Genomic DNA, 27,604 nt, shown 5'->3' with positions numbered 1-27,604 from the left:
AGCCAGCTTGTAGGGCTCCAAGTCCCAGCTCTGGCCCTCATTAGCTATGTGACCTTCAGGCAAGGAACAGCTTCTCTGACTCTGCATCTTCATTGGTAAAAAGGGGACAGTAATAATTCCTACCTCAGGGTTGTTTGGATGGAAAATTTGTAACAGACATGGAAGAGTCTAGTACAGCAACTAGCCAAGCATAAGCAGGCGATCTAAAGCTAACTTTGGCCAATTAAGCAAAAAAGGAGTGTGTTAAAAAGGATCAGAAATTCTCAGATCATTTGGAAAGCTAGACAAGACTTGAGGCTTGGGCGGGTGCAGTGGCTCGCACCTGTAATACCCGCACTTTGGGAGGCTGAGGCGGGAGGATCACTTGAGGTCAGGAGTTCGAGAACAGCCTGGCCAAAATAGCAAAACCCTGTCTCTGCTAAGAATACAAACCATTAGCCAGGTGTGATGGCGCGTGCCTATAGTTCCACCTACTCAGGACGCTGAGGCAGGAGAATTGCTTGAACCCAGGAGGCGGAGGTTGCAGTGGGCTGAGATAGCACCACTACACTCCAACCTGGGCGACAGAGCAAGACTGTCTTAAAAAAAAAAAAAACACTTGAGGCTTCCAGGAATGACATTGCAGGGCTGGTCTGATGGCGTTGCTGCCACTGAGCACCAACTGCTACAGTTTGCATCCTTGTCACTTCTACACCAGGAACTCAATTTTGCGGGTACTGTTATCACAGTTACCACACAAAAGAGCGCTCCCGATCCCTTCCCTGAGTCAAAATGTGGCACAGGTTTATCCCTGGTCCCCATGCCTGGCCCTAGCTAAGGGGAGGCTGGGAAAGTCAGTGTCTAGCATTTTCAGGTACTCTTAAGTGGAGGTAGTTATTGCCCCCCCATGAAGTCTCATAAAATAGGGGGTTCTCTGGAGACAAGAAGGGGTTCAGATACCAGGCACCCAGACCCAATAACAAATGTCCAGTATTACCCACAACAAAGACAAATATCATCAACATAGAACAATAAGAGATATTGATACCCTATGAGCTTGTTACATCTCTGTCATTTTACACATTGAGATCAAAATCCAAACACCAGGAGGCCCTCTGGTAAAAGAGTGCTGGCTGCCTACCCAACATTCTCCCCTAATGTCTTAGTGTCAGAACCCCTTTGTTATTAGGGATAGTCACGTACCCAGCAAATAAGCCACATCTCCCAGCCTCCATTCCAGGTAGGGGTGGGTGGTTAGTGAGATGGAAGCAGAAGTCATTGGGTGGAGCTTTTGGGAAAGCTCTTTAAAAGCGCCCTTTGCTCTTCTCCCCTTTCCTCCATTTTCCCTTCCCTAAACACAAAATAGGCAGCTAGAGCTCCAGTAACCATCTTGTAGCAAACCTAACATTGGAAGCCATTTGTCAAGGTTGGCAGGGCAGAGATACAGCCTCTGAGTATCTGATGACCTGTCCTGCCAGTCCTGGACTCCGAAACATTATTTTTCTTTTATGTGCTGGAAAAAATAAACCTGCTTCTCGTTGAAGCCATTGTTAGTTTGAGTCGCTCTTCCTAGCAGCTGAAGGTAATTCCTTACTAATACCAGCTGGCCTCAGTAGTTTCACAGGTCCTTCTCTTCTAGCAATCCAAGATGTCATCATCCTCTGGCGCATAAGAAAATCCCAGGAATGCACTTGAGGCCCCAGAGCTGCTGGCCACAGTGTCAGGGGTACAGCCAATGGACTTGGACACAGCTTCCTGGGTGAACTCTGGGTCAAAATGCTTCAAGTCAGCAGGTCCTGTCTGTCAATAAAAGCCAATGATGAGAAGAAAACACCGGGGTCAGAGCTGCCAAAGGAGCCCAGATCCTCAGAGAGGGATGTCAGGCCTCTGTGAGTGCCCCATGCTTCACAGTCATCCATACTTGACTGTCACTTTCCTGTGCATTTACATTGATCATTTGATTCCTCTCACCCCCTGGTATTCTGCCTCCACACCAATCGTCAGGCAAGTCAGTTAATCAACATAACACTTACTGAATGCCTACCAGGTACTGTTCGTGGCGCTGGGAACACAGGAGAACAAGATAAAGTGAGCCCCTGCATTCATGGAGCTTACATTGTGTGGGGGGTAGGAGGATTGATAATAAGCATATGTACAAATAGGTAACTTAGGATGGTGATAGGTCCTATGAAGAAGAGAAAATAGGGTGATATGGTGGAGATTGACTGGGGCTGCTTTAGCTATTTTGGAGGAAGACCTGTGAGGGAGATTACAAAAATGTTCACAAATTCTCCATTTCCCATCTAGAGGTGGAGTCTATTTCTCCATTCCTTTAATGTAAGTTAGCCATATGACTTGGTTAGGCCAATGGGACATTACCAAATATGACACAAGCAGAGGCTTGAAAATTGCACATCAGGAGTTGCTCTCTTGCTGTACTTCTAACCCTGATGCCACCATGTGAACAGCCCCAGACTAGCCTGCTGGAGCATGAGAGGCTCATGAAGAACTCAGTTGCCCTGGCTGCCTGCCAACTCCCAGGCATGGGAGTGAGGCAATTCTAGATCAACAACTGCCAACTGTCCCGCTAGCTGACCACAGATATGAGAGAGCTCCACAGAGACCAGCTGGCCTGACTCAGACTTAAAAAAAAACACATAGAATCCGAACAAAATAATTTTTTTTAAGAGACAAGGTCTTTTTTGCCCATCACCCAGGCTGGAGTGCACTGGCATGATCACAGCTCACTATAGCTTCGACATCCCAGGCTCAAGCGAGCCTCCCACCTCAGCCTCCTGAGTAGCTGGGCATGCAGCACCACACCTGGCTAATTTTCTATTTTTCTATAAAGATGGGGGTCTCGCCATGTTGACCAGGCTGGTCTTGAACTCCTGGCCTCAAGCAATGCTAATAGCTCGGCCTCATAAAGTGCTGGGGTTACAGATATGAACTACCATGCCCAGCCAAAAGATTGTTGTTTTAAGCCACCTAGCTTTGGAGTTGCTTGTTATACACCAAGAGCTAACCAATACAGTCTCTCTGTGGAGGAGGCCTGGGTTTTATGAAGTAAGCAGGTGAGGAAGGGGAAGGGCTTGCAAATCTGCTTTAGTGTGCAAGTCGGGCTATGGAGCCAAACAGATCACAGTTTCTAGCTTCTCAATAAGGCTACAAGACAAGGTAGTCCCAGCCCAGCACTCAGAGTTCCAAGATCAGAATGTGCATCCTGGCCCTTATTAGTTGTGTGACTGTAGAAGAAAATGATACTAAAGAGACTTACTGAAGACCTCACAAATGGTAGGTGACAAAACCAGGAATCCAGCTCCGGAGTGTCTCATTCTAAAGTCCATTCATCTCTGCCTAGTATTCCATGTATGGTTCTCTCTCCAGGGTATAAGTTCGACATTATCTTCACTGTCTTTTTAAAATCCCAACGAAAAGAAGCTTTTCTGGTGCCTGGCCCGAGTGTATCCTATCTGATCCAGTGCCCAAAGACAAGTTCATGAATAGGTAATTAAACAAATGAGAAATGTAAATGGTGAATTAACATTGGCAGTGTTTGATATGCAGGCTGTTTCGATGGAAGGGGCTTGGCACCATGCTTTACAGGTAGACCACACAGCTTCACACGCCCACCTCCAATAGGACTCCTTTCATTCACACTGCCACTACCAATTAACATTGCAAAACTAGCACTTTGGGAGGCCAAGGCAGGCAGATCACTTGAGGTCAGGAGTTCAAGACCAGCCTGGCCAACATGGTGAAATTCCGTCTCTACTAAAAATACAACAACAAAAAAATTAGCCAAGCATGGTGCTGAGCGCCTGTAGTCCCAGCTACTCGGGAGGCTGGGGCATGAGAATTGCTTGAACCTGGAGAGGCAGAGGTTGCAGTGAGCTGAGATCGTGCCACTGCACTCCAGCCTGGGCAACAGAGCAAGACTCTATCTCAAAAATATAAAAATAAAAGCCAGGCGCGATGGCTCATGCCTGTAATCCCAGCACTTTGGGAGGCTGTGGTGGGTAGATCACTTGAGGTCAGGAGTTCAAGACCAGCCTGGCCAACATAGTAAAACCCCATCTCTACTAAAAATACAAAAATTAGCCAGGTGTGGTGGCATATGCCTGTAGTCCCAGCCACTCGGGAGGCTGAGGCAGGAGAATTGCTTGAACCAAGAAGACAGAGGTTGCCATGAGCTGAGATCGTGCCACTGCACTCCAGCCTGGGCAACAAAGTGAGACTCCACCTCAATAAAATAAAATAAAATAAAAATAAAAATAAAAATGAAAATAAAAACTGGCCAGGTGTGGTGGCTCACACCTGTTATCCCAGCACTTTGGGAAGCTGAGGGGGTGGATCACTTGAGCCCAGGAGTTCAAGATCAGCCTGGGCTACATAGAAAAACATCATCTGTACAAAAAATACAAATTAGCTAGGTGTGGTGGCACCCACCTCCCAACTACTCAGGAGGCTGAGGTACTCAGGAGGCTGAGGTAGGAGGATGGCTTGACCCCAGGAGGTGGAGGTTGCAATAGGCAGAGATCATGCCACTGCACATCAGCCTGGGTGATAGAGTGAGACCCTGTCTCAAAAAATAAATAAATTTAAAAAACTAACCATCTTTACTATAAGACAAAGAAATATAAATTAAAACAATTAAGAGATGCTGTTTTTTACTTACCAAATTTGCAAAGTAAAAAACAATAACCACACATGCTTCAGAGTGCAAGCAAGATGAGAACTCTCCAGCAAGTGCCGCTGGTAGGAAGTAGATGGTTCTCCCTTCCACACAGTGAAAAGGTGGTGTGAATCAACAACCTAAAAATGGCCAGGTGCGGTGGCTCACGCCTGTAATCCCAGCACTTTGGGAGGCCAAGGCGAGTGGATCACTCGGGGCCAGGAGTTCGAGACCAGCCTGGCCAATATGGTGAAACCCCGTTTCTACTGAAAATGCAAAAATTAGCCAGGCGTGGTGGCGCATGCCTATAATCACAGCTACTCGGGAGGCTGAGACATGAGAATTGCTTGAACCTGAGATCGTGCCACTGCACTCCAACATGGGCGATCGAACGAGACTCTGTCTCAAAAAAATAAATAAATAAAATAAAAATAAAAAAAGAATCTAAAAAACATTAGCATTGGGAATTCCCCATATGGAATCCATCTTAAAGAAATGACCAGAATTCTGGGCAAAGACATATACTTAAAGCTGTTCATCAGCACATCATGATAAAGAAAAAACATAGTAACAACCATAAGATTGCCATTAGGAACATGGGTAAGTAAATTATGTTACCAACATAAGATGGAAATATTATGCAGCCACTAAAAATTGTATTTATAAAATTTTTTATGACATGAGGAAATTATAACATAGTTTTTAGCCAAAAAAGGAGGAAGATAATATAGATGAATAAACACACACACACATATAGATACTATAAAGTAGGACCTAATTAGGTTAAAAACAAAACAAAACAGGCCAGGCACGGTGGCTCACGCCTGTAATCCCAGCACTTTGGGAGGCCGAGGCGGGCGGATCACGAGGTCAGGAGATCGAGACCATCCTGGCTAACATGGTGAAACCCCATCTCTGCTAAAAATACAAAAAATTAGCCGGGCATGGTGGTGGGCGCCTGTAGTCCCAGCTACTCAGGAGGCTGAGGCAGAAGAATGGCATGAACCCAGGAGGCAGAGCTTACAGTGAGCCGAGATTGTGCCACTGCACTCCAGCCTGGGCAACAGAGTGAGACTCCATCTCAAGAAAAAAAACAAAACAAAACAAACAAAAAAAAACACATAGAAAAGTGACTGGAAGGAAATATGCCAGTGGTTTCCCTTAAGTAGTGAGATAATAAGCATTTCGCCACTGCTACTTTAAACTTTTCTGTTTTACATACATTCCCTTTTTTTTTTTTTTTTTTTTTGAGATGAAGTCTCCCTCTGTTGCCTACGCTGGAGTGCAATGGCATGATCTTGGCTCACTGTGACCCTTGCCTCCCAGGTTCAAGCTATTCTCCCACCTCAGCCTCCCGAGTAGCAGGGATTACAGGTGTGCACCACCATGTCTGGCTAATTTTTGTATTTTTAGTAAAGATGGGGTTTCACTATGTTGGCTACACTGGTCTTAAACTCCTGACCTCAAGTGATCTACCCGCCTCAGCCTCCCAAAGTGCTGATACTACAGTCGTGAGCCACTGTGCCTGGCCAGTGTTTTACATACTTTTTATAAGGATATATGTCATTTTTATTATCAGGAAAAAGTCTATAAATAGAAAAGGATAAAATATCTCTAAAGGGCTTGGCCCTATGTGGGTGTGCTGTGCGAAACAGAGCACTTCACAAACTGTAAAAGTCTCTGCAGCCAGAGTTATTTATTGGTGCTCAAGACAAAGGAGCAGCAACATGGCTGTTTATCCAAGAGCTGCACCTGTAGTCAGGCCCAGTTCTGTCTCTAACTGACTGTGTAGCCTAGGACAAATGACTGAGCTTCTTGGACCCCCAAGTTTTCCATCTAGATAAGGAGAGTTGGCAAGCATAGCAAGCTCCCCCAGCCCCGGAAATCCAGAGTCTAGAATGCTGTGACCTCTTACCACATTTGGGTTGAAGGGTGGAGTTAGCCTCTTGTGGTACAGGTCATCCCAGTTTATGGGGCTGAAGAATACATGGTTCTTAATCTCAAGCTGCAGGAAGTGCAGAAAAAAGGTTCTGGTTAGAAGTAGCCCTCCCCATGGGTGCTCTCACCTCACCCCCACATCCTCCAGAGCTCCACAAGCAACTGGCTGTCAACTGGAAATTAACTTGCAGTTCTGGCTAGTTTCCTGGGACAAGAGAGTTTTGCAGCCAAGCCTCTCCCATCATCCAGAATCCAAACCCTTCTCCCCACTACAGCATCTGTTTATTCCAAAACTATTTACTGAGCATCTTCTCTGGGCACCGACCCTTTGCTAGGCTTTGGGGGTGTCAGTGAATAATACATCAGAATCTGCTCTGGGGGTGGGGGAGTACCAGTGGGAGCTTGGAGACCCCTCCCCTCACTCTGCTTCAGTACATCTTGAGTTTTCCAGTATGCAAACCAGAGAAGTAGACTAAATCAATTCACTAGGGAAGGTTTGAAAAATAAAGCCCCCAAGAAGACCTTCAGATTCCCAGACACCCAGATTTTAGGACTCAGCCCTGGTCATGATTCACCACCTTTCCTAATCAAAATCAACATTGGCACCAACTTCTTTCCATCACATCCTCTATCTGTGTTTCTCAAATAATTATTCTCCACCTCCCTATATCAGGAACCCCAGTGGGCTGGTTAACAACCCAGATCCAAAATATCTCCGTAAGAGGCTGGGTGCAGTGGCTCACGCTGGTAGTGCCAGCACTTTGGGAGGTCAAGGCAGGTGAATCACCTGAGGTCAGGAGTTCATGACCAACCTGGTCAACATGGTTGACCTCGTCTCTACAAAAATAGAAAAATTAGCCAGGCGTGGTGGTGTGTGCCTGTAATCCTAGCTACTTGGGAGGCTGAGGCAGGAGAATCACTTGAACCCGGGAGGCAGAGGTTGCAGTGAGCCGAGATCATGCCACTGCACTCCAGCCTGGGCAACAGAGCAAGACTCTGTCTCAAAAAAAAAAAAAAAAAAAAAAAAGCCTCCGAAAGAATGCCCAAGAAATTGGTAACATTGGTTGCCTCTGAATTGAGGAACTGGGTGGCTGGAAGGACTTTTTCTAGATACTCTTTTGTACCCTTTGAATTTTGATCTATGTGAATGTATAACTTATTTTAAGAGTCATACATATTTTTTTAAGATACAAATTTTTGCTTGGAACAGGAGACATCTTCACGGAAGCCCCTATTCTTTAAGCTGGCCAGGAATAGGCAGCAGATGCCCTAACTGTTGTTACGATTTACAGTAACTGGAATGTAAAGCTTTTGGTACACTTAAAAAGCACTTATTGTGTGCCAGACACTGCTGAGAGTACTTTGCATACATTAATACTAATCCATTTGATCTTCAAAACAGCTGTGTTAGGTGCTGTTATTACAATGGGGAAACTGCGGCTCACAGAAATTAAGCAACATGTCCAAGGTCCTGTAACTAGTAAGCAGTGAAGGAGGGATCTGCTGAACCCAGGTAGTTTGCCTCATAGTCCATTCATCTTTTTTTTTTGGAGATAGAGTCTCACTCTGTTGCCGAGGCTGGAGTACAGTGGTGCCCATCTCAGCTCACTGCAACCTCCACCCACCCCCAGGTTCAAGCAATTCTTGTGTCTCAGCCTCCTGAGTAGCTGGGATTACAGGCACCCACCACCACACCTGGATAATTTTTGTACTTTTAGTAGAGACCGGGTTTCGCCATGTTGGCCAGGTTGATCTCAAACTCCTGACCTCAGGTGATCCGCCCGCCTTGGCCTCCCAAAGTGGTGGGATTACAGATGTGAGCCACTGCACCTGGCCTAGTCCATTCATCTTAACCACTATGTTAGAAAAGAAAGCAAACTCCTGGTGAGAAAATATTGCGGCCTTCTTTTTGTAAATCCAAATTACCTTGTGTTGAATAAAAAAAGTAGGATTATTTTTAAAGTGCCACTTTAATGAATGAATATAATGAATTTGCTAAGAATGGACTATGAATCATTTATCCCTATATCCCATTTGCCCAGCCTGGGGTCTGGCAAGGAAGAAGTACTCAGATATTTGTAAAAAGCAAGTGCTGGCTGGGCGCAGTGGCTCATGCCTGTAATCCTAGCACTTTGGGAGGCTGAGGCGGGCAGATCACTTGAGGTCAGGCGTTCGAGACCAGCCTGTCCAACATAGTGAAACCCCGTCTCTACTAAAAAAATACAAAATTAGCCAGGCATGGTGGCGGGTGCCTGTAGTCCCAGCTACTCAGTAGGCTGAGGCATTAGAATTGCTTGAACCTGGGAGATGGAGGTTGCAGTGAGTTGAGATCGTGCCACTGCACTCCAGCCTGGGTGACAGAGCGAGACTCAGTCTCAAAAAAAAAAAAAGGCCAAGCATGGTAGCTCACTCCTGTAATCCCAGCACTTTGGGAGGCCAAGGTGGGCGGATCACAAGGTCAAAAGATCGAGACCATCTGGCCAACTTGGTGAAACCCCGTCTCTACTAAAAATACAAAAATTAGCTGGGCGTGGTGGCGGGTGCCTGTAGTCCCAGCTACTTGGGAGGCTGAGGCAGGAGAATCGCTTGAACTCGGGAGGAGGAGGTTGCAGTGAGATGAGATTGCACCACTGCACTCCAGCCTGGCAACAGAGCAAGACTCTGTCTCGGAAAAAAAAAAAAAAAAAAAAAGCAGATGCAGTGCAGTCCACTCTCCGCAAAGAAGCCCGAGGAATCTTCTAAAAACTTAAATCAGGTCATGCCAGACCTCTGCTCAAAACACCCTAAAACTGGCCACTCTCCTCCTTGTTCCCATAGCAGGACTTCTGCACATGCTGTGCCTTGTGTCTGGGGAGCCTTTGCCCAGCTGTCTTCATGGCTGCCTCTTTCTCATCCGTCAAGCCTCAGCTTAATTGTCACCTCCTCAGAGAGAACTCCCTGATCATGCCGCTATTAATTTGCCCCCCCTCCCATTATTGTCTATCTCAGCTCATTATTCATTTTCTTCCTGACACTTGTCATACCTTGTGATAATTGTATATAATGTTTGGGTTTTTTGCCTGCCCCCAATCCCAAACTTTTTTTGTTTTTGTTTTTGAGGTGGAGTTTTGCTCTTGTTGCCCTGCCTGGAGTGCAATGGCACGATCTCAGATCACTGCAACCTCCGCCTCCCAGGTTCAAGTGGTTCTCCTGCCTCAGCCTACTAAGTAGCCAGGATTACAGGTGCCCAACACCATGCCCAGCTAATTTTTGGTATTTTTAGTAGAGACAGGGTTTACACCATGTTGGCCAGGCTGGTCTCGAACTTCTGACTTCAGGTGATCCACCCGTTCTGGCCTCCCAAAGTGCTGGGATTACAGGCGTGTATGCCGCACCCGGCCCCCACCCCAAACTTAATAAGGGCAGAGACCCAGCCTATTGAATCCCTAACACCTAGCTCAATACCTGGCACATAGTTGGTGCTTAGTAAATATTGATTGACTAAGAGAACTAGACTGGAGAAAGTAGTCAGCTAGTAGCAGTAGTGAATTTCCAAATGAACAAGTGAGCAGTGCCTGGTTTTAGAAGGCAGCAGGATGCGTGTTAATGTGCTTCTGAGCTGCCTCTGCAGGAAGCTGCGAGCCCCATGGGGGCCAGTGCTCCACTGGTAGGTCACCTACAAAGTCTGCTTTGGAGCCCAGCCGCTGCCTCTGGTCCTTGTGGAGAAGGCTTTGCAGGAGGTCACAGGCGGCCACTGTCCGGCCTCCGGGGATCTGTAGCGGCTGGTGCAGAATGTTCTCATACATCTGGGATACATCTTGGCTGTAGAAGGGCGGCTGGGGAGAGAGGGAGAACAGCTGGAGGATCACCCATGCAAAGTGAACACAGGCTCGGGGAGACTTGGAGCAAGGTGGGCGGCTGGGAGGATTCAGTATGACCCCTGTCTTGTGCAATGGCTCGCATGGCAGACTGGAAAGAGACAGGACTCCAGGCTTCCGGCACATGGAGAGAGTTGCTAGGAAGGTCAGAAGTCTCTTCCCACCAGCGTGAGGCCCATCTCTTTTCATCTAGCTTATGCACCAACTTTGCATTTGGCAACATTTGCACTTTCACCTTAATCATTTCACCCCAGCCTCATAACCATCCTCCAAGAGAGTTGTAATTTTTCAGGTAAGAAAACAAGGCTCAGAGCAATTATGTGGCACAGTTAGGAAGACAGCCAGGCCCCAAACCATATCCAGGGTCCCCTTCTCTTTCTTACTATTCTTCCTCCCACACCTCTTCCAGCTGTTCCTTCCCCTTAATCCACAGAGCCTGTTCCTTCCTAGGGACCAAGCTATGCTGGTGAAACCACTTCAAAGCAAAGCATGGCCTAGGGCAAATCTACACATGCCTCTACCTAAGCAGGCAGCCTAGGACTGGGGTCAGGGGTTGGCTCCACAACCTATCAGGACTGTGATCTCTCTTGGTCTCAATTTCCCTATCAGCAAAATATGAATAACTCCATTTCCTGCTGTGTCAGCCTCCAAAGGCTATTTTGAGGCACCCAAGGTGAGACAGTGTGTTGTAAACTAACTTTTTTTTTTTTTTTTTTTGAGACAGAGTCTCCCTCCGTCACCCAGACTGGATATGCGGTGGTGCGACCGCGGTTCACTGCAGCCCCTGCCTCCCAAGTTCAAGTGATTCTCCTTGCCTTAGCCTGCCGAATAACTGGGATTACAGGTGCCCGCCACCACGCCCAGCTAATTTTTGTATTTTTAGTAGAGATGGTGTTTCATCATGTTAGCCAGGCTGGTCTTGAACTCCTGACCTCAGGTGATCCACCTGCCTTAGCCTCCCAAAGTTCTGGGATTATGGGTGTGAGCCACCGCCCCTGGCCTAAACTAACATTATTGAAAAAAATAATAATTTGCATATTCACCTTGGCGTTATCTTTTTTAGTCTGGAATGAAGAGATGGCTTGCTCATTTTCCTGGACAGAGCTTGTGTAGACCACATGAGAGACAGACCCATCCCTAGCCAGATGGCCCTTGTAGATGGCTACCCCTGACTCACCAGGCCATGGAGCATCTCGTAGAGGACTGCCCCCAAGCACCACCAGTCCACTGCTCGATCATAAGGCTCTTTCCGAAGCACTTCAGGTGCCAAGTACTGTTAGAAGGAAACACACTTATTTGAAATAAGTCGTTAAGCCTCAGTTGCCCCAGCTGTAAATAAGGCACTTGGAGGAAGATGACCAAGAGCTGACCCTGCTGTACGTGTGCTCTGTGGCTGTGTGTGTGTTCATGCATCAGTCATTCAGCAAAGGCCTGCTTTCTGCAGGGCCCTTTGCCATGGGTTGGGGATGTAGAAGAGGTCAGCCAGGACTGCTTTGTGCAATTTACATGGTGTGTACCACACAAAAGCACCAGCCAAAAGGGTAAAGGGGGCTGCACTCATGGCTGTAATCCACTCACCAAGCCGCAACACTAGTTCAAAGGTATTATCCGGCAACTTTATTTTTGTTTCAAGGGGTGCTTTTTCTAATTAGTCTGCCCGGAGGGGATGCCTTTTTCTATTTTTGCAAAGGCATTCAACTGGCTATCCGTGTCCTGGGAACGGAAGGCCCCGGGAGTACTCTCACAGGGCAGTGTGGAGACTAATGTGAGTGTAAGTAAAAGTACATGTGGCATATCCTTGTGCTGGAAACCCTAGGGTCAGACGAGAGGGTCAGGAAGGAGGGGGTGACCCCTGAGCTATTGATAAATAAATGTACACCATGTCTCTATGCCTTGCATGAGGAAGAGAACCTGGGAACAAAAAAAAGAGGCTTACTGACTTCTTAGCCTGGTGTCTCTGCCACCGAGTCGGGGGCAAGGTCTCAGCAACAGGAAAAGCTGCTCTGAGAGACTGTGTGGGGTCTAGGGAAGGGCAGAGTCACACAGACCTGAGCCGTGGTTGGTACGTGGTCTCAGGCAGGGCATTTAACCTCTCAGACCCTGGTTTTTTCATCCTAAAAATGTGAAGATACCAAATCCCTGCTAGAAGCTGTTCTAAGATGCTAACATATGTGCTGGCCCTCAAACAATGGGAGCAACCATGGCTACTCTTGCCTGTGCCCCCCAACACCATGGCAGTGGCTGAGTCGTGGTAAAGGTGATGTGTTGGGGCCACATGTCTCCTACATGAGCTGGGGTTCCATATCCTTTGTTCCCGTCCCTAGCAACGTCCAAGGAAGGGATGGCTGGACTGTCAGGCTTTGGGGCGCTGGCTTTATCCAGCAAACACCACCCACCATACCCAAACACAGACCATGGCTCCTGCTCAGAGAGTTCATCCGACCATCAGCTACCCTAGAACTAAAGTGAGGAGGCCATTAGATCTAAGACCCAGCTTTTCAAGCATATGGAGAAAAAGAGAGCAGCTGAGGTCCTGTCTCATGCCAGGTGGGGAGGAGTCTCCCAGTCTGTAGCCTCAGCCCTCCAACCCTCACCCTGACGTCTGTCTAGCCACTGGGGACCCCTTCAGGTCCAAGGTCCAAGGTCCAAGACTGGTGGGAGTTCAAATAAAGTTTTTTTTTTTTTTTTTTTTGAGACAGAGTCTCGCTCTTGTCCACCAGGCTGGAGTGCAATGACCCGATCTCGGCTCACTGCAACCTCTGCCTCCCAGGTTCAAGCGATTCTCCTGCCTCAGCCTCCTGAGTAGCTGGGATTACAGGTGCCTGCCAGCACACCTGGCTAATTTTTGTATTTTTAGTAGAGACGGGGTTTCGCCATGTTGGCCAGGCTGGTGTCGAACTCCTGACCTCAGGTGATCTGCCTGCCTCGGCCTACCAAAGTGTTGAGATTACAGGCGTGAGCCACCACGCCTGGCCCAAAGAAAGGTTTTAACTTCAGGGCTGCAGAGAGACCTTGGCAGGACATATAGACATGTCTGAATGACTGCTGAGATCTGCAAATTGTAACCCTCCAGGCTCTTGGCAGCTGGAAGATGGACACGGACCTGTGGTTTACACTTGCCAGCCCAGGTCTTAACACTCAGGCCAGGCCCTCTTGTTGCACGTGGCCTTCACCCTGCAGATCAGTAGTGTACAATATAGCAGCCACTGGCTGCACGTGGCTATCGAACACTTCAAATGTGGCTGCTCCAAATTGAGATGGGCTGTAAGTGTTAAAATTCATGCCAGATTTTCAAGACTTAGTTAGAAAAAAAAAAGGAATAAAATATTTCAACCAGTTTTATATTGATGGTATGTTGAAATGAGAATATTGGATATATTGGGTTAAATAAAATACATCATTAAAATTAATTTCACCTGTTACTTTCTTACTTTTTAAATGTGGCTGCTGGAAGTTTTTAAAGTGTTTATGTGGTTTGAATTTCTTTCTTTTTTCTTTTTTTTTGAGATGGAGTTTCACTCTTGTTGCCCAGGCTGGAGTGCAGTGGCACAGTCTTGGCTCACTGCAACCTCTGCCTCCTGTATTCAAGCGATTCTCCTGCCTCAGCCTCCCGAGTAGCTGGGACTATAGGTGCCCGTCACCGTGCCCAGCTAATTTTTTGTATTTTTAGTAGAGATGGGGTTTCACCATGTTACCCAGGCTGGTCTCAAACTCCTGACCTCAGGTGATCTGCCCACCTCAGCCTCCCAAAGTGCTGGGATTACAGGCGTGAGCCACTGTGCCCAGCCTGCGTTTCTATTTCTATTTCTACTGGATAGCACTGCAGTAGAGCTTCACCAGCAGCTAGCTGGCTGGGTCTCAGCAGTCCTAGAGCTGGTACCCCCATTACATAGATGAGGAAACCACAGTTCAGTGTATAGCCCACTCAGGAGAAGTGTTTGGGTCAAAGGAGTGAGTCCCCTTCACTGTAACCTGTTGGCTCTAATCAGGAGCTGTGGCCTCACCCACTCATGACCTCCCCTCTCCTGGGATGTTTACGCTTACCTCAGGGGTACCACAGAATGTGGATGTGGTGTCTTCAGGCTCTACACCTTCCTTGCAGAGGCCAAAATCCGTCAGCACCACGTGTCCCTGAGAATGACGGAGGGCATGGGCTGGAGGGTGGTATGAGCCAAGGGTATGGCCAGGCCTAACCCCCAAAGCCCAGATGCCACACCCCAGGGCAGCAGCTGTGGGATCTGATGCCCAGGCACAGGCTGGAGGCTCCACTCCAACACAGGGCTCCTGGACTGGATGTCAGGAGCAGCACAGGGGGCCGGGTGGGCATTCCACTGTTTGCCCACAGCTCATCACAAACTCAGACCCACCCCTACGACAGTGGCAGCTTGTGGACAGAAAACCCCTAGACAGAGGCTGGGGACTCAGAAAGCAATCACACCTTGTGGCAGCTGGGCAGGAAGGTAGAATGAGTAGATACTGTGGGGTTCTGCCTGGATCCCTCTTCTGAAACCAGGCTACAGAAGAACCATGCCTATCCCCATCCCCCTGCTGCTAGAACATTGCCCGCACCCAAAGTTATGCCCCGTCCCTAGGAGCAATCCATGTCCAGGGGCACAAAGGCCCATCCTCTTTGTCTCATTTTGGGACAATCCTAGAGACCCACCCCAGCTCAGGCCCTCCCCCTGCCGGCAAGATCAGCTGAGGCCCCACTGGTAACTACAATGCAGGTGAGCTTCTTCCTTTGCCCAATCCTGTTTTTTTACCCCTTTAAAAGTGTTATCTCTTGAGAATGTTCCCCAATAAAGCTTCTGCCTCCTCTCCATCTCAGAGTCTGTTTCCATGGAGCCCAGTCTAAGACAAACTCCACCAGCCTCCACCTGGCTCCACCCCTGCCCCCTATGTACATGCATGCACACATATACATGTACAGTCTCATGTGCACATATGTATGTGTGTACATGTGCATGGGCACACACACATATGCTCAAATGCCTCCTCTACCTATATGCATACATGTACAATGCATGCACACCCATGTACACAGACTCATGGTCAGATAGTGTACCTGTGCAACCACATACACACACACACACACACACACACACACACACACACACCAACCTGGCAGTCCAAGAGAATGTTCTCTGGTTTCAGATCCCTGCAGAAAATAAGAGAAAACAGCCTTGAGGTGTCTCAGCCATTTAGTGAGGAGAGTTGGAGACCTGGGCGGGGGGTGGTCCTGGCAGGAGAACTATTCATGGAGGTTGCCAGAGATGCAGAAGGAGAGCCCAGAAAGGCTGGGCACTTGGACCTCGGAGGAGGAGACTCCAACCCCACCCAAAACAAAGGACCAAGTCCACCAGGATTTCATCAGGATTTAGTGTCCACACAACCCCTAGCTGTTGGAGCAAGAAGGGCTTGGTCCTGGCTCTGAGCCACAGGCAGGCCTCACCTGTAAATGATGTTGAGGGAGTGCAGGTAGCCAATGGCGCTGGCCACCTCAGCAGCGTAGAACCTGGCCCGGGGCTCCAGGAACCGGCGCTCCCGCTGCAGGTGGAAGAAGAGCTGGAGGGGAGGAGGAGTGTGACAGGAGTTATTGGGTGGCTGCTGTAGGGCTAGGGTGCACCTGCTCCCCGCCCTGTGCGGCTGCGAGCTCACTCCCTCTCTGACCTGCAGCATTCTTCCTACCAAAAGAGTGCATGCTGGCCCCTGCCCCACACAGCAGTCCCGGGTGTCCAAAGAGTCAGCAGAAGAAGAGATGAGTTAGCATTGCTTAAGCACCTCCTGTGTTCCAGGTTCCAAGTCAGGCCCTTCCACATCTCTTATTTAATCCTCATGACAACCTTCAAGGTACAAGTGTCATGCTAGTTTCATGTAAGAGGAAGCTAGGAGGGGTCAGAATGGTTAGGCGACTTGCCCAAGGTCATGTAGCTTATAATTGGCAGAGCTGGCATTTGAACCTGCGTGGTTCAAAGATTATGCTTTTCCATCAATCCAGGCGATATGATGATACGGCTGTCAGACTGAGCTCAGGTTAGATCCACCCATGGGCCAATGTTTTTGGACTATTTTGCTGGCATGGAAAGCCCTTCACTTAGGGATGCAGGACAAAAACCCCCCTCTTAGCATCATTCTGAAAGGCAAGAGATCACGCAGGTTAAATCTGGGGTCACTGACTGGAGCTCCACTACATTTTGCATCTTGACCAGAGAGACAGAGTGAAGCCCAGGAGGGAGCTCTGCTTGTCCCAGCTGTGCTTCTGGGTCACCAGGTGGCCTTGAGGTCTCTGTTTACCACAGTGACCAGTCAATCCCACCCTGTGGCCTATGGGAGCACTAGAAACCTTGACCACGAGCTCCTCTTAGCATTGACCTTTCCCGGGCCTATCAAAGTGCGTCTATGGGCAACTCTGAATGAGGAAGGCAAGAAAGCATTATGGTGGGGAGTCTAACAGACCTGAATTCAAGTCCTGACTCTACCAGGTATGCGCTGGGTGGCCTTGAGCAAATGATTACCTCCCTGAACCTCAGTTTCTTTAGCTACAAAATGGGTCTATTGTAAGATGAAGTGAGATCATTCCAGAACTTGGCATGCAGTGGGCATGTGGGATGGACAGCTCCCAGCCGAGAGCCAGCCCAGGGAAGCCTCCCTGTGGGCCCACCCACCTCTCCCCCGTTGACATAGTCGAGCACGAAGTAGAGCTTCTCAGGTGTCTGGAAGGAGTAGCGCAGGCCCACGAGGAAGGGGTGCCGCACGTTCTTCAGAAGCACACTGCGCTCTGCCATGATGTGGCTCTGCTGTGGAGTCACAAAGAGAGGGGTCCATGTCACAGCCCACAACAGCCTCTTTTATCCCGGCTCAGCCCATATAAGCTTGTGGGTGGGGGTCATCCTACCCAGGACTTTCTCATGCCCCTGCTCAAACACCCACAATGGCTCCCTATTGCCCTTAGAGCCAGGCCCAAGTTCCTTCCTTAGTATTCAGGGCTCAGGGTGGTCAGCCTCATCCTAAGCTAGTTCATGTGGGCACAGCTCTAGCCCCTGTATCAGAGCTTCTTGCCCTTGGAGTGAAAAGCAAAGCATGTGTGATGCCTACATAACTGAGTTCCTAAGGGAAAGAAGCCACACACTATCCATATTCATGTATTTGCTCATGCTATTTCCTCTTCCTGGATGTCGCACCCTCTTTTCAGACCATCAGAATCCCACCATCAAGGCCAGCTGCACCGCTGCCTCCCTCAGGAAGACCTCCCATTCCACCCCCCACGGAGACCTTGTTAACATTAATCTCTCTTTTCTCTGAGTCCCCCAACCTCCTATGCAATCCTCTCTCTGGGCCTGCTCTGGCCTACTAATGGAGTCAGGTGTTAAAGGAACTCAGGTCAGCTGAGGCATCAAGAAATCCATGATGGGGCTGAGTGTGGTAGCTCATGCCTGTAATCCCAGCACTTTGGGAGGCTGAGGCCAGCGGATCTCTTGAGGCCAGGAGCCTGACCAACATGGCAAAACCCCATCTCTACTAAAAATACAAAAATTAGCCAGGAGTGGTGGCGGGTGCCTTTAGTCTCAGCTACTGGGGAGGCTGAGGCATGAGATCACTTGAACTCAGGAGGCGGAGGTTGCAGTGAGCTGAGATGGTGCCATTGCACTCCAGCCTGGGTGACAGAGCAAGACTCTGTCTCAACAACAAAAAAAGAAGTCCATGATGTGCTGTGCATGTAGCTCATGCCTCTAACCCCAGCACTTTGGGAGGCTGAGGCGGGAGGATTGCTTAAGCCCAGGAGTTTGAGGCTGCAGTGAGCTGTGATTGCACTACTGCACTCCAGCCATATGGCCTGATGGCATGAAGGGTCTTCAGAGAGAATAAAGTGGGGCTCCACATTATACAGATGGGGAGCCTGGCACTTGGAGCAGGCAGAAGACTTGTCCATCGTGGAGCCTGTGTTTCCCAGGGGAAGGCAAAGCCAGGCTGGTTTTCCTGAAAGCCCTGTGGTGAGATGGCTTGGCCTGCTTTCTTTGAGAAGGGCCAGCATCCTGCGTACCACCTCCCCTCTACCCTTTGTTGTGACCACTTCTGCACCCAGGCCCATGGACCTGTCAGAGGTGGGACCCATCTTTGAAAGCCACCCTAGGCTGCGGCTTGAGAAGCAGAAGAAGAAATGCCTGTGCCCGAGCTCTGGTACCTCTTTCTTCTTTAAGATGGACTTTTTCTGTAGTACCTTCACTGCATAGAACGCCCCATCAGACTTGCGCTTGGCCAGTAGGACCTGAGAAGAAACATGAATTTGAGGCCCTGTAGGTGACTTTGGACTTCCCAACAGCAGTACAAGGCCTCCCGCCTGCCCCTGCTTTTGTCTGCAGGTGCGAGTGCTCTCTCTTCATACATACAAGTGGCAGCAGGGGCTGGAAGAGGCTGCAGAAGGGAAGACCCAGGCTTCCCACCCTCACCAAGTCACTCACCTTCCCGTAGTTCCCTTTGCCGATGACTTTGAGGAAGTCGAAGTCCGTGGGCTGGGCACTGGGGGAAGAGGGAAAAACACGGATCAGCATTTGCAATGTCTGGAAACCTGGTGCCTGAGAACAAACCTGGGCTTCTTTTTAACTTTAGAATGGGGAAATACAGAGAGCCTTCCAGGAGCCATGCCTCCTCACCCCCGAAGAACCCCATGTTCTCCCAGCCGAAAGAGGGCTTGTAAGATTCACCCTGGCCCCAGGGGAACTCAAATTCAAGTTAAACAACAGGCAGAGGGTAGAGATAAAACCAGACATACTGCACAGAAGGCCTGCATAGAAGGCAGGGTTCTGGTACCCAAAGCCCCTCAGAAGGGCCTGAAGTGTGGGGAGTTGCTAACAATGCAGACATTTAGGTGGCATTGCAGGAAGAGGGTTCAGCATGGGCAGAGGCTGGGGAATTTGTGGGAGATAGAGCTGGGGAAAGGTCCTGGGCCCAGATGGCAGACAGTCTTGAATGCTAGACCAGAGAATCTGGATTTTATTCCCAAGGCAAGGGGAGCCAGGTATGAGGGGAGTCAAGTAGGAAAGGTGCTTGAGGGACCAGAACTCACTTTGGGTTGGCTGAAGGCCCCAGGTTGATGTTCCCATTGGCCCTGGAGGGCTAAAGAAAGAAGTGATTATGATCAGCAGATCCCTACTCCTTGGCTACCTCCCTTTCTCCTGGCCCAGGCCCTGATCCCTTCTCCAACAACTCTACTAGGCCTGCCTGCCTTTTTCTTTTCTTTTTTTTTCACCTGCCCGCCTGCCCGCCTCCCTCCCTCCCTCCCTCCTTCTACCCACCCACAAATCCACTTATCCACCATCTTACCCACTTCTCAAAACAGCCTTGGGAGGCAGCTGGCTGTTGTGCTAATTGAATAGGCGAGGAAACTGAGGCCCAGAGAGGAGTTGCCCAGGGTCTCACAGGCAACCAGGTTGGGATACGACCCAGGTGTCTCCATGACAAATCTCATGATTTTTCCAGTTCATCTTGAAGCCCTATTTCAAATCTCTACTCTATTCACCCTGCAAGTGGCTCATTTCTATGTGCTCGCAGTAACCCTCTCAGCCCCTGACATTGTCTGGGACCCACAGATTTCCTTAGCCTCGGGAAGAAGTGAGCCCCCGATGATGGGTGGGGGACCAAGAACCACTCACCTGTGGACTTGGGGTCCCAGCTGGGCTAGAGTTCATTCTGTAGCAATGATCAGGCAGCTCTGGGGGGACAGGGAGGAGCAGGCATGAGAGAGTTGGTGTTGGGGGGTCAGCTCCGCCCATCCAGGGCTTCAGGCACCACTGCCCTCTCCATCCTCCCCTACCTGTGCACCTGCCACCGCCTGAGGGTTTCCTACCCGAGGTAAGCAACCCCTGCATGGATGGAACAAGAAATGATATCCCCTGGACCCAGACTTCCTAACAAACATCTCAGAAGGGATAAAGGGGGATGGTCAGGGTGTGGCCCCTCCCAGGCTGATTCTTTTCAAGAACTGGGGACACCCAGGGCAACAAGACCCCTGTGAGCCAGGGTAGCTCCAGAAGTCCAAGATGGCCAGGGCTGGAAGGATCTTTTCAGGGCATAAAGTCTGAACCCATCCCCCATTTCACAGATGGAAGGCCTGTGGCCTAAAAAAGGACCTTCCTAGGGCCACATAGCCTTGTGAAGCACAGGCTGGGCTCTCCGGACTCCCATAGAGGAACAATGGCAACCCTGAATTACTGTGCGCAGTCCCAGCTGGGCTCTGTGCTACGATCTCCTTGCCACAAGGAATTCTGCCCAATGCCTCAGGAAAGGCAGCTGCCCTGGAAGCCTTGGGCTGGGGCCACAGAGAGACCCAAGACTGGCCAATATCTATTCGGGGCCAAACAACAGAAGGTGTGACCAGCTGATCTATGTGGCCAGGAATAGTGTCTTCCTTGCTTCCACCCTGCAGGGGAGACGGGGCCAGGGTGCCCAGGCCCTGCCACAGATTGCTTGGGGCCCCACAGTCTCATCCTTGCTTGGCAAAGGCTGAGAGCAGAGATCTCACCTGAAAGCCCAGTTGCCGCGCATCTCAAGACCTTAGTCTTGGCCCACTGTGGGGCCTGGGCTGCAGCCCAGCCTCTCTGAGTAGAGATTTCCTATCTTTACAAGGGGGGGTCCTGGAGGCACCAACCTCATGGCCTTCTTGGGAACAGAGAAAGTGAAGGGGAACTGAGAGGATCCCCCAGCCCAGGCTTCCCTGAGAGGCCCAGCCCTGCCAAGCCTTAAGAGCAAGCTGCAGAACTGCTAAGGAAGCGCAGCCTGCCCCTAGCCAATGCCAGACGTGTGTGCTCCTGCAAACGGCCCACAACACTGCCACACCCTCTCCTGGGCTGACCCCAGTGGCCCTTTGGCCAGGACCCGGCCTCCCTGGTCCCACATACCTGCGAGTCTGAGGAGAGGCCTCTAGGAGAACCAGCAGTTGGAACCGAAGACAGGCAGTGGACAAGAGAGCCTCTCTCTGTTCTCCCAACAAGGGCCTAAGTGTCTGTGCCTGGTGCCGGCCTGGCCCCAGCACAGAGCTCACAGCTCCCGGCAGCCGCGAGGGGGCTAGCTGATGTCACGCGGGATCCGGCAGAGCTTAAGATGGGACTGGAGACTTCTGTTCCCTGGGGAACACCATCTCACCCTAGCGGGGACGGTGGGAGGGGTGGGCAATAGCCCCAGGGCAGCCCTGGAGACCCTCAGGGCTTGTTAGACTGTTTGGGTCAGGGTATGTGCAGCATGGTGTGTACTGTGTGAGTGTTTTGTGCATAGAGTGCTTCCGTGTGTGTCTGTCTGTGGCTGTGTATTTCAGGTATTTGTGTCGGTTTCTATGAGTCTGCGTAGATGATTGCATGTATGTGTCAGTGTGACCACATTTGTACATTTACATCAGCATATGTCTGTGCATCTGTGACTGTGTGTGTCACTGTATCTCAGTGTGTGTGGTGTGCATATGGATGTGTTTCAGCGTGTCTCTGTGTGGTACATATCAGTGTGTATCTTTGTATGTGAATATGCTGTGTCAGTGTGTGTGTATGTGGGTGAGTGTGAGTCTGTGTGGATGTCTGAAGGTGTGTGTTAAGAGCAGTATGGGTGTCTATTAATATGTGTGTATAGGTAAGTCATTGTGTGTGTTCATAGTGGTGTATATCAGTGAATTTACTCTGGGGTGTGTGTGTGTATGTGTGTGCGCGCGTGCATGCACGCATGCGTGCGGCTAGGGGGCCTGTGTATACGAACCCTGTGTAGACCATCTGGAGCTGAAGAAAAAGTCCCCAGACATCAGCCATGGCAGCTGAGAGCCCTTCGCCTCCCAAAAACCTGCAGATGTTTCAGAGGAAGGAACCTGGAGCCTGGGTGTCTAGCTCAGTCCAGCCTGCCTTGGTCTTTAATGAGCACTTGGTCCTTTTGGCCTTTCCCTGCGGGCCCCTCAAGGGCTCTGGCCCAGTCCTCAGGGCAGGCCTGGTTGGCCCACGACTCTCCTGCTGCGTAAGAAACGGTCCCAGAGAGCACCCTGGCTCATGAAGGCCTTGCTGCCTGGGGCGGTCATTAGGTTCTCACAGGGTCCCTTCCTCTCCCCAGGATCCCGAGGGGTAGGCAGATGTTCTCAAGAATAAAGGAGTTGATGGGCCCACAGCCCCTGCCCTTCTCAAACTTTCTGTGTGGCTACAGTATACTACAGGGGAGGGACACATGGGGCTAGGGCCCAGAAAGTTGGTCAGGGAGGGAACTGAGCCCAGGGGCCTCAGGGGTTCTCTGTGGGTTCTGAAATGCGGAGGATCTGGAAGTGTTGACCAGAGAAAACCTGAGTGCACAGTATCAAAGCCTTCCATCTTGAACAAAATAGAAATGTGGAACCAATTCATGATCAGCAGGATGTCATGTTGACAAAACACATACCCAGAACAAGGACATTTATTTTCAAAAACAAGATCCTGATGTGGCCTTCATTCAGCAGCACTATTTATAACAGCAAAATAATTGTGCTAATAGTAACCTAAGTGTCCCACCACAGAGCACTTCAGAACACTTGCCAGCTGCAAGAGCTCCCTCTCTTGACCATATACCGTGTCCAGATATGGTCCCATTTCTTTGTACCCCTTTTCAGCTAAACTCTTTGAAAGAGTTGTCTGGACTCCTTGTCTCCAGTCCTCTTCCTGTTCTCTTTTGAGCCCGTTCCAAATGGGCTCTCATCCCAACACTTCAATGAAACCGTGGACCAGTGACCTCTATGTGCCAAAGCCAGTGATGAGTTCCTCATCCTCATCTTATTCAACTTCTCTGAAGAATTTGGTGTGCTCATGTTCCCCATTTGGCTTTAGGAACTCTTGGTTTTCCTTCTAGCTCACTGACTGCTCTTCCTCCATCTCTTGTGCTGGATTTTCCTCCTCTTTTTATCCTTAAACACAGGCCTATCCCAGGGCTTAGTCTTTGGGCTTCTGTCTACACGTACTTGTTCTTTAGTTGATCACTACCATTTTAGTGGTTTAACCAACTATACTTGTCAGTTCCCAAATCTTTTTTTTTCTTTCTTTCTTTTTTTTTTTTTTGAGACAGAGTCTTGCTCTGTCACCCAGGCTGGAGTGCAGTGGTGCTATCTCAACTCATTGCAACCTCTGCCTCCCAGGTTCAAGTGATACTCCCACCTCAGCCTCCTGAGTACCCGGGACTACAGGTGCCCGCCACCATACCCGGCTAATTTTTGTATTTTTTTAAGTAGAGATGGGGTTTCGCCATGTTGGCCAGGCTGGTCTCGAACTCCTGACCTCAAGTGATCTGCCTGCCTCGGCCTCCCAAAGTGTTGGGATTACAGGCGTGAGCCACTGCGCCCAGCCTAGTTCTGATTCTCTCCTGAACTCTGGATTTAAATATTTAACTGCTTCCTTGACAATTCACTAGTCAGATGTCTAGAGGCATCTCAATCTTTATTTATTTATTTATTTTTTAAGAAAGAGTCTCACTCTGTTGCCTAGGCTGGAGTGCAATGGCACAATCTTGGCTAACTGCAAGCTCCGCTTTCTGGTTCAAGCGATTCTCCTGCCTCAGCCTCCCGAGTAGCTGGGATTACAGGCACCCGCCACTGCGCCTGGCTAATTTTTGTATTTTTAGTAGAGACTGGGTTTCACCATGTTGGCCAGGCTGGTCTCGAACTCCTGACCTCATGTGATCCACCCACCCCTGCCTCCCAAAGTGCTGGGATTACAGGTGTGAGCCACCGTGCCCAGCCAAAGCATCTCAATCTTTTTTTTTTTTTTTTTTTTTTTTTTTGAGACATGGTTTAGCTCTGCAGCCCAGGTTAGAGTGTAGTGGAGTGATCTAGGCTCTCTGCAATCTTTACCTCCCTGGCTCAAGCTATTCTCCCACCTCAGCCTCCTGAGTAGCTGGGACTATAGACACACACCACCAGGCTTGGCTAATTTTTTTTTGTACTTTTTGTAGAGACAGGGTTTCACTATGTTGCCCAGGCTGGTCTTGAGCTCATGAGCTTAAGCAATCCTCCTGCCTCGGCCTCCCAAATTGCTGGGATTACAGGCGTGACCCACTGCGCCTGGCTGGTATCTCGAAGTTAACATGTCCAAAACAAAGGTCTTGACTCATATTCCTTCCACTCTGCCCCAGTCTGCTCCTCCCTCAGTCTTCAGCCTCAATAATGGCACTACCGCCTACTCAAAAGTTCAAGCCAGCAACTTTGAGTTCATTCTAGAAAGCTTGCACCCTCACTCCGCCTCCACTCCATCATGAAATTCCATTCAAAATATATCCAGAAACCATTGCTGCTCACCATCATTGCTGCAACCGCCCTGCCTGAGCCCCCATTGTCACTTGAATGGATTATTGCAATGGCTTCTCCACTGACCCCTGCTTCTCCATTTACCCACTACAATCTTTCTCTATGAAAAGCCACGGTGAGTCTTAAAATGTAAATCAGATCATGTGCCTTAGTTGCTCAAAAACTCCAGTGGTTTCTCAACACACCTAGAATTAAAATCCAAAGCCTCAGCTGGGCGCGGTGGCTCACACCTGTAATCCCAGTGCTTTGGGAGGCCGAGGCGGGTGGATCATGAGGTCAGAGATCGAAACCATCCTGGCCAACATGGTGAAACCCCGTCTCTACTAAAAATACAAAAATTAGCTGGGCGTGGTGATATGTGCCTGTAGTCCCAGCTACTCAGGAGGCTGAGGCAGGAGAATAGCTTGAACCCAGGAGGCAGAGGTTGCAGTGAGCTGAGATCACGCCACTGCACTCCAGCCTGGTGACAGAGCAAGACTCTGTCTCAAAAAAAAAAAAAAAAAAAAAATCCAAAGCCTCTACCATGGTTTATGAGATCCATATGACCTAGCTTGCTGTCTCCATCTCCTCCTTGGCTTCCACTCCCCTCCTTCCTGACTGCCCTCAGCCTCTCTCCTTTCTCTTGCTGTCCCTCAGACACACTAAGTGCTCTCTGGCCTCCAGCCCCTTGCACTTAGTTTTCCCTCTGCCTACAACACTCTTCCCCCAGGCACCTGCATGGCTGTTTTCCACTAACGTCATAGAGGCTTCTGCTTAAAGTCACCTCTTGGAGAGGCTTGTACTGATTACGGGTGACAAGTCATCTTGGTTTGTCTGGGACTGATGGGTTTCAGTGCTAAAACCGCTATAGTCCTGGGCCAACCAGGATGGTTAGTCACTCTGATACCAGTCCTGCTCATTCCCTATACATTTTGTCTACTTTATATTTTACTTTGTAGCACTGATGCCTTATCACGTATTTATTAGTTTTTATTTTCTATCTCCAACTAGAACATCAGCTCCAGGAGGGCAAATACTTCCTGTTCAACTATTGAATCCTCAGCACTGAGCACAGGGCCTGGAATATAGTAGATGCCCAGTACAATTTGACTAATGAATCAATAAATGAATTGATAAATGTTGGTACATATATAAAGTGGAAAATTACACAACCAAAAACTATATAAAACCTATATAAACCAAAACAGGAACATACATGTGATACAATATCAAGCAAAAAACCAAGTTTCAAAATAGTAGGTGTTGTAGGGGTACCAATTTTGTAAAAGAAAAACAAAAGACATGTCTGCACGTACACATTTGTGAGCACAGCTGCCAAAAAAAGACTGCAGGGTCATGACCCAAGGTCACAGCGGGTTCTTAGGTTAGGTTATTTTAACTTTTTTTTTTTTTTTTTGAGATGGAGTCTCGCTCTGTCGCCCAGGCTGGAGTGCAGTGGCGCAATCTCTGCTCACTGCAACCTCCGCCTCCTGGGTTCAAGCAATTCTCCTGTCTCAGCCTCCCAAATAGCTGGGATTACGGGCATGTGTCACGACGCTCGGCTAATTTTTGTATTTTTAGTCGAGACGAGGTTCCACCATGTTGGCTAGGCTGGTCTCAAACTCCTGACCTCAGGTGATCCGCCTGCCTCGGCCTCCCAAAGTGTTAGGATTACGGGTGTGAGCCACTGTACCCGGCCGGTTATTTTAACTTTTATCTTTGTACTATTGTGTAAAGCTTCTCAAGATATTGCTGTTGAGTTAATATTCAAGTACTGAGTTCCTGGTGGGAACCTGGCATGCCCATGGCCCATCACACCCTCCCCCATCACCTTGACTGTGACCCCCATGCCTAAGCAGCCCTCAGTTCCTAAGGCTTTCTTCTCTCTCGCACCACGGTGTTCTAATTTTCTGGCCAGAAGCTGGACATCAATATATTCTCCTAACTCTTCAGACTCCGCAAACTCCCACTCAAGCCCCTCCATGAGTCCTCAAGCCTGTCCCTTTCCTAACTTGCCACAGCCCAGACTTGCCTCCCTCTGTCCCACTGTTACATGGACCTGCTTACAGCTCCCTGGCCCTGCCAAATGGGGTGTGGGGGTGGGACAGTGTCACACAGTTCTCTCTCCTTGGAACATTCCCCAACAAACCTGGTCTTTCCAGCTCACCTTTTCACCTGTTCTCATTGCCTTTCCTGGAAGCCAGATGACCCTCCGATCCCATGCACCCTCTCCTGCTGCTGTCCCTGTCTTCACTGTAACTTGTTCATTTACACGCCTGCCCAGTTCAAGTGCCAACTTGATCTTATTTTGTTCCCACAACCCCACGGGTTAGGAACTATCATCGTCCCTGTTTCAAGGAGGAGAAAACTGAGGCAAGGACAGGGAAGTGACATGATCAAGACAGTTAATAAATGACATAACCAGGATTTGAACCCAGGCCATCTGACTGCAAAGCCCACGGCCTGGAATTTCAGGAAGACAATAGAAAGCTAGAAAAGGAAAAAATGAAGTCAGTGGGAAGGAAGTGAGGATGTAAGTTGGTTAGTTAAGGAGGAAGAAAATTAGGCAGCTGAGAAAGCAGATAGTTGGGAGGGAAGGAAGGAAAGGAAGGAGGGAGAAGGGAAAGAAGTCGCCAAGGAAGAAAGGAAGGAAAGAAAGTAAACAGGTACTAGGAAAGATGTTAGCTAGGTAACTAGTCAATCTGGAGACCAATAGGCGAGCAGGCAGGTATCCTGCTCACAGGTGAGCCTCTCACCTGAAAACTCCAGGTTCCTGCTCAGGTCCTGGGGAGCAGCCCCATGCACGGCTCTGCCCTCTTCTCTCTCTTCATGGTCCTTCTGACTGGAGGCACAATCCTGACTTGTCAAGCAACCTTCCCAGTCAGGAAT

At 49.3% G+C, this 27,604-nt stretch overlaps 1 protein-coding gene across 3 annotated transcripts; it reads right to left on the bottom strand.

The window, feature by feature from the left end:
• On the bottom strand, window positions 1,004-27,604 carry SGK2 (serum/glucocorticoid regulated kinase 2). Of its 3 annotated transcripts, none has more exons than NM_170693.3 (13): window positions 27,472-27,604; window positions 20,100-20,158; window positions 19,514-19,563; window positions 18,909-18,966; window positions 18,632-18,715; window positions 17,115-17,246; window positions 15,902-16,014; window positions 15,571-15,607; window positions 14,494-14,580; window positions 11,627-11,722; window positions 10,252-10,407; window positions 6,570-6,659; window positions 1,004-1,779 (listed from the first exon to the last, which is right to left on the bottom strand). In NM_170693.3, the coding sequence occupies exons 2-13, from the start codon at window positions 20,133-20,135 to the stop codon at window positions 1,615-1,617; spliced, it is 1,104 nt and encodes a 367-aa protein (NP_733794.1). In that variant the 5' UTR covers window positions 20,136-20,158; window positions 27,472-27,604; the 3' UTR covers window positions 1,004-1,614. The 3 variants fall into 3 exon arrangements, with proteins under 3 accessions (NP_733794.1, NP_001186193.1, NP_057360.3); NM_001199264.2 differs by lacking the exon at window positions 27,472-27,604 and adding an exon at window positions 21,345-21,407; NM_016276.5 differs by lacking the exon at window positions 27,472-27,604 and having other exon boundaries at window positions 20,100-20,833.

The sequence above is a fragment of the Homo sapiens genome, chromosome 20 (assembly GCF_000001405.40).
Source record: "Homo sapiens chromosome 20, GRCh38.p14 Primary Assembly".
Lineage (NCBI taxonomy): Eukaryota > Metazoa > Chordata > Mammalia > Primates > Hominidae > Homo > Homo sapiens.
Note: the sequence above shows the minus strand (reverse complement) of the source record. Positions and strands in the feature narration are given on the sequence as shown.